Genomic DNA, 6580 nt, shown 5'->3' on the forward strand with positions numbered 1-6580 from the left:
ACTAAAACATCTTCTAGATAGAATTATCACTAATCTGCAGTGCATAATTGTAAAAACAAAAAATACATATAAATGTAGATTAATAATTCCAAACAAGTAAAATTTTATTGGATTTTTTTTTTTTTTCTTTGAGATGGAGTTTTGCTCTTGTTGCTCAGGCTGGAGTGCAGGGTGCAGTCTCAGCTCACTGCAACCTCTGCCTCCCGGATTCAAGCGATTCTTCTGCCTCAGCCTCCTGAGTAGTTGGGATCACAGGTGCCTGCCACCACGACCAGCTAATTTTTGTATTTTTAGTAGAGACAGGGTTTCACCATGTTGGCCAGGCTGGTCTCAAACTCCTGACCTCAAGTGATTTGCCCACCTCGGTCTCCCAAAGTGCTGGAATTACAGGCGTGAGCCACTGCTCCTGGCCTGGAAATATATCCTTAATAGATGAATGGGGCATAAACTTTTAATTGGTCCATGTTTCTATGGCTGAGTGTTACCTATTGTTGGAAGGAGACAGTTCCTCCTGTTCTAACCCAATCCTCCTGTAGTCACCATAAACAAACCGGTATTCTGTCAAGATCAGGTTTATTGATTTAATGCAATGAGGGAGACCGGACCCCCGTAGAACTGAGAAGTGTTTCCCAATAAGGGAAAGGTGGAGTTATTAAAGCAATTGGGGGGAGGGTGAAGTTTAAGTGAAATTTGAATGAAGTAGTTTTTGATAGACTCAAGCAACTAGCAGGGCTGTACAATGTAAAGGGGTCAACATCATGTCTGGCTGGCAAAGTAGGCCAGGGTCCCACTTCCCCAGAAACTATAATACCAAGTTTAGATCAACGTGGAATGTTGTGTCCAGAAATCCCTTATCTGAAGCTCTGCACCTGGGTTGGAAATCCAGGCTGCTTCTCAGTATCAAAGTGACTTAGATCCTCAAGGCTAGAGGAATATTTCATTCTTTACTGCTATAATTTCAAATAGCAATGTTTCCAATAGTTTATAATATTAAGGAACAAAATCCAAAAGCAGTAGTCACTCAAAGAATGGAATTAAGACATTTTGCAGCTTGTCCTAGGGGAAAATATATTGTTTCCTATTAACTTGGCAGCTGGCTTTACCCGTGTCTTTTATTCTGATCCAAAGAATCGCTGGGCAGATTTTGACCTGCCAAGCTAAATTTTACTTTTTCAATGTCAATTGTAATCTTCAGTGTTGTTTTTTATAGATGTAAGTACTGAAAGACCTGGGCCACCTAAACTCTAGGCATGAGGGAATTATTTTTTTTTAAGAGAGGGAGCTCCCTCTGTCACCCAGGCTGGAGTCTGTACAGTGGTATAATCATAACTCACTGCAGCTTCAAACTCCTGGCTCAAGTGATCCTCTCGCCTCAGCTTCCGGAGTTGCTGGGACTACAAGCTCGTGTCACCACGCATGGTTGTTTTTACTGTTACCTTTTTGTAGAGACGGGGTCTTGCCATGTTGCCCAGACTGGTCTTGAACTCCTAGCCTCAAGCGATCCTCCTGCCTCAGCCTCCCAAAGTGCTGGGATTCTAGGCATGAGTCACTATGCCCAGCCATGAAAGAAATTTTGGTATAGCCTTGCCACTCCAATTTTGGACCACCTTCCAAGTTGTATGCCAAAATACACAGAGTAATTTTGTATCATACTTAGCGATCTATTCACTGAAAATCCTTTCCGACCCTCTTTCAACTTTATTGAAAGCAAGAATGAAACCAGCCTACTTACATATGAAGGTGTCAGATCTACACCAGTATTCCAGACGTCCCTCTATTTGGTACTCCATATGTTTCACACTCCCTCTATTTCACACTCGGGGATGAGGTATCATTGTAAAATTTGGGATGGGTGAGGGGTCCAGCTTGCTTTTGTAAGGCGGAAGAAGGCTGAATGTGGAAAGGGGCACTTGAAATCACTTAAGAAAGAGAAGAGGTGGAAATTGAGGATCTGGGAATTCCCTAAACGCTCCCCATGGCTGGCAGTAATTCCTGGATAACCACATACTGGCCTGGAACTTTCTGGAAGTCAGTGCTCAGCACGTGGCAGGGGGCAGACGGACTGGAGATGCCGTGTAGTCTGGGCTGTCCATTAAGTGGCACTCTGTTGATAGAACAAAGCATTTGAGGGATAAGGCAGTCACTATTTGTATTGTATCAAGAATAAATAATATAAATGAGTTGCACTGAGGAAATGCCTTTTCTATTTTTAATTGTGCTCAACTGGTTTTCTTTTAATAATGCATGAGGAAGTCCTGCTTTTGCTTCTTATTCATAGTTTTTTTAAACAAAAGTCCATGATTTTTCTTCTTTTTTCTCCTTCCTCTTTCTCTTTTTTCTAACTACACCTCAGAAGCTAGTCAGAAAGTTCAACAGGTGGTTTGAGAGGCTCGTTGACTTAGCTGAGATCCTAGTGGTCAGATAGTGCATGGGTATTTTTTTCTCTTGTTCTCAGTACTACCTGTGAATGCTGCTGTAATGTTTTATGTGTGTGTGTGTATATATATATATATATATATATATATATACACACACACATACACACACACATATATATACACACACATATATACACAAAAAAGTATGTATTGTGTCTATATATAACATGCCAAACATACGTGTTATATAGATACACATAAAACATATATATGTATATAAAATACATATATAACACACATACATGTATATTTTATACTTACAATTTCAATGAGTTTGGCAGTACAGTCCCAAAATACACTTTACTTGCATAGGTTCTCAGGATTTGAAAAAAACAAACAGAATACACTTTGTAATCATGTCTCTTACACTTTGAAATAAAATTCTTCTTTATGGCACATAAATTCTAGACATTTGCTTCTCAAAATTCCCCCAGTCACAGAGCCCAGCCCATAGTGAAGTGTTATAACTAGAGTTGTTAGAAGCTAGTTGAAAGAAGTGGGCATGGAAATTCATAATACCATCTTTATGAGAATTTGGGTTTTACTTCGGCTATTACTTCAGAAATAAGTGCTTGCTGAAGTAGGGCATTCATTTTGCTAACCTGTAGTTCAAAACTGCTGTATTTGCTTCTTCTCTTTCAGGTTTCATTTCCAGGGACCCTGTGGAACGACTCTTCCTGAAGCCCTTGCCTGTCATGAAAATGAAACTGTTTCTTAAGTGTCCTGGGGAAGAAAGAAATTACAGTATATCTAAGAACTAGGCCACACGCAGAGGAGAAATGGTCTTATGGGTGGTGAGCTGAGTACTGAACAATCTAAAAATAGCCTCTGATTCCCTCGCTGGAATCCAACCTGTTGATAAGTGATGGGGGTTTAGAAGTAGCAAAGAGCACCCACATTCAAAAGTCACAGAACTGGAAAGTTAATTCATATTATTTGGTTTGAACTGAAACGTGAGGTATCTTTGATGTGTATGGTTGGTTATTGGGAGGGAAAAATTTTGTAAATTAGATTGTCTAAAAAAAATAGTTATTCTGATTATATTTTTGTTATCTGGGCAAAGTAGAAGTCAAGGGGTAAAAACCCTACTATTCTGATTTTTGCACAAGTTTTAGTGGAAAATAAAATCACACTCTACAGTAGGTAATTTATTGTATAAAGACATTACCCCACGATATGGCTTTATTAGGGACTTTTTTTTTTTTTTTTTGAGACAGAGTTTCACTCTTGTTGCCCAGGCTGGAGTGCAGTGGTGCGATCTCAGCTCACAGCAACCTCCGCCTCCCGGGTTCAAGAGATTCTCCTGCCTCAGCCTCATGAGTAGCTGGGATTACAGGTATGTACCACCACACCCAGCTAATTTTGTATTTTTAGTAGAGACGGGGTTTCTCCATGTTGGTCAGGCTGGTCTTAAACTCTCGACCTCAGGTGATCTGCCCGCCTCGGCCTCCCAAAGTGCTGAGATTACGGGCATGAGCCACCGCACCCGGCTTACTGGGGGCTTTTTAACCTTGTTTGGCTACATTACCTCAGTGAACAAGGGGAAGCTCACAACAGGAACTCACACAAAGAAGGAAGAGAACAGTACCAACAAGGTAGAACATCACGATGAGAAGAAAGAATGATGCAAATATGTGGACCCCCAGGATAAACACAGCTGCCCAAAATTTAGCTCTGGCCCCCTTAGATGGGGGAAGTCAACAGTGAAGTGTTTCTCAGCATCATAAAGGCAGAAGCTGTGGTTCCTGTGGGGCCTGCCAACCGTTCCCAGATGCTGAACTCTGCTGGGAGTTTTTTCCATGGGACTTTAAAAAATGATGCCCTTAGGTTGGGCCAGACCTCTGTTAACTTCAGTAGGGATGGCACCAGGTTCAAGAGGCCAAAGAAGAGACCTGGAGCTAGTGAAGGAAACATAGGGTTTATTTGGGGAACCTTACAGGGTGGTCCAGTGGCCGCGGGCTGGACAGAACTGCAACCACTTATAAAAAGCATGCAGTTTACATAGCACTTTCACTCAGCACCCTCCCCTCAGCAGCCTCCACGTGGCAACCCTCACTTCTTAAGTTATTGCTGTCAGATGCATCTGCCATACAGGGTCATTCTCAGGGGATGCTTAAGTTATTTCTGTCAGGTACATCTTCCATACACTTTACTACCTTGGAGTAAAGTAGTAAGAATACAGCTTTTTCCTTAACCTTTACCAGCTAACTCAGTGCTTAGGGGCCTTGGAATGCCTGCTGTCCAGCAGGTGTCACAGGCCTGACTGGGAGGCATGGCCATTATCAACAGTGTATGAAGGTCACATATGGCTCCCTGAAGTGATTACATACTTGGACCACATCACCTCAGCCCCTTGCAAAATTGCATTTAATGTTACACCCTTGGCTTTTGTAGAAACAGGCAACAAGACACTATCATATAAAACTTTGTACTGCATTGCAAGGCATAACCTTTAATAAATCCCAGTGGTCCTTTGTGTAGGGAACGGGGATGCTCATAGCCTATGGGGCGGCTGGAGAACCAGTCAGGGACCCTGAGGGCTCGATGTACACTTTACATGGGTGGGCCAAGGAGTTTACACTGAGGGCACTGGTAATACCTGTAATAGTCTTATAGTACTTATAAAGCAGTTTTGCACATAAAATACCATCATGCACTTATAAGTTTGTTCTTGGGCTGCTCCAAGTTAACTTTATTCATTTTCCTAGTGTTAGTGTCTCAGGGAGTCTGATTATATTTTTGATTTGTAATTTCTATCTGACTAAGGCCTAGAGATTTCAAAACTGTTCTTTGCAATTCCTCTCATACTGAACCTCTGGTTCAGCAGCTTTTTTTGTTGTTGTTGTTTTCAAGTTTTATCATTTTTGTTCCTATTTGGTTTTGTCGTTTTTAAATTGAGAATTGCTTCTAAAACAGAAGACATGAAAAGAGAATTAAAAATACAATATATGTGTAAGATAGAATTATTCAACTTAGCATTTATTAAACATCTACCAGATGATAGACATTAGAAATAAAATGACTAGCAAGACCTGGCCCTTCCCCTCAGGGGTTCACAGAATGGCTGGAGCAACTGTCATATAAGCTGTTATGAAGTGCAGAAACTACACAGACATTTGTGCGGGTTCAGACCAGCGCAATTAGAGATGGGCAGAGTGGGATGGGGTAGGGGTAAGGTGCTTGAAATTTGCCTGGGTGGGAATTTTTGAAGTATAAAAAGGACTTCTACCTGGGGGGCTGCGGCAGTAGAGGGAAGAGCACGGTCGGTACAAATGCATGGCAGGTGTGAAACAGTTTGATTTGTTCAAAGAATGATGAATCACTTAGTGTTGTATAATGGATGGGAGGAGAGAAACACAGCGATCACAAAGGGCCATGTTTGCCAAGAAATAAAATATACTTGGAAAAAAAGTACGTATGTGTATATACCACAAAACTCGGGTGCATTCTCTAGGGACCGGCGAAGCCATTCTTTCAGGAGATATGCTCAGCATTTGCCACGGGCCAGCTGCTGTTCCAGGTCGTGGGTTAGGGCCCGGCACCAGGAAGGGCGCCCCTCCCACAGGGCCGACATCCTAACCGGCGTCGCTGCGGCCGCGGAGCTGGGAAGGCCGAGGGCGCCGGGCACGTCTGTGCAGATTTCTTTAGAGTCCAGGTCTGTCGCCCGCGTCTTCGTCGGTGGCAGCAGGGCTGACTGGCCACGGCGGCCATCTGCTAGAGCGCATTTCTTCCCATGAAACGCCACCTCCTCCGAAGTGCGGAGCGAACGCAGCCAAATCTACACAAAGACTGACAAGCTGGATCCACTCGACGGAACCCAGGGCCAAAAAACGGCGGCGAGCAGCGCCTCGGGCCCGCGATTACCGGTTTTCTGAGCACCGGACAGCGTGAGCCGTGCCAGCCCTGTCTCGCCATCCCAGCCGAGGAGGGCAGCGCGATGGCTCTTCCCTGCCTTGAAATCAACCCCATTGCCAGCCGCTTTCGCCGGCAGAGCATTTTCCGTGGGGTCCATCCGGCTCCAAGGCGGCCTGCGCTGGCCACGTGGAAAGAAACACGCCCACTGCCTACAGGCCACGCCCTTCCTCCCTTCGCGCATGCGCCCCACCCGTCCTGAGGACCTCCGAACCTGCAGGGGGCGATGA

General features: G+C 43.9%; 1 protein-coding gene and 1 long non-coding RNA gene across 30 annotated transcripts in view, besides 1 other annotated feature; one reads left to right on the top strand and one right to left on the bottom strand.

Annotated features, from left to right (window-relative positions):
- SIRT5 (sirtuin 5) overlaps nt 1–6449 on the top strand; it is a 40885-nt gene extending 34436 nt beyond the window's left edge. For 19 of the 29 annotated variants that reach the window (NR_164854.1, NR_164853.1, NM_001376798.1 and 16 more), the window contains one exon: nt 3081–5398. Coding sequence is in view for 23 of the 29 variants with exons in the window: in NM_001376809.1 (NP_001363738.1) it covers nt 3081–3199 (119 nt within the window). In the remaining 6 variants the exon portion in view is untranslated. Of the gene's footprint in view, nt 1–133; nt 2146–3080 lie in introns of those variants that run through there. The other 10 variants (NM_001193267.2, NM_001242827.1, XM_047418515.1 and 7 more) reach the window with 2 other exon arrangements.
- On the bottom strand, nt 557–6493 carry LOC124901263 (uncharacterized). Its single transcript, XR_007059461.1, has 2 exons — nt 2700–6493; nt 557–2104 (listed from the first exon to the last, which is right to left on the bottom strand). It is a non-coding gene; the product is annotated as an uncharacterized LOC124901263 (long non-coding RNA).
- Nucleotides 5839–6008: an enhancer, noted in NCBI's record as "active region_24038". NCBI's record gives its function as "activates an Ori minimal core promoter by ATAC-STARR-seq in GM12878 lymphoblastoid cells {active_cell/tissue: GM12878}" and the evidence as "EXISTENCE:reporter gene assay evidence [ECO:0000049][PMID:35858748]".
- Nucleotides 6494–6580: the final 87 nt, after the last annotated feature.

This window comes from Homo sapiens, chromosome 6 (assembly GCF_000001405.40).
Source record: "Homo sapiens chromosome 6, GRCh38.p14 Primary Assembly".
Lineage (NCBI taxonomy): Eukaryota > Metazoa > Chordata > Mammalia > Primates > Hominidae > Homo > Homo sapiens.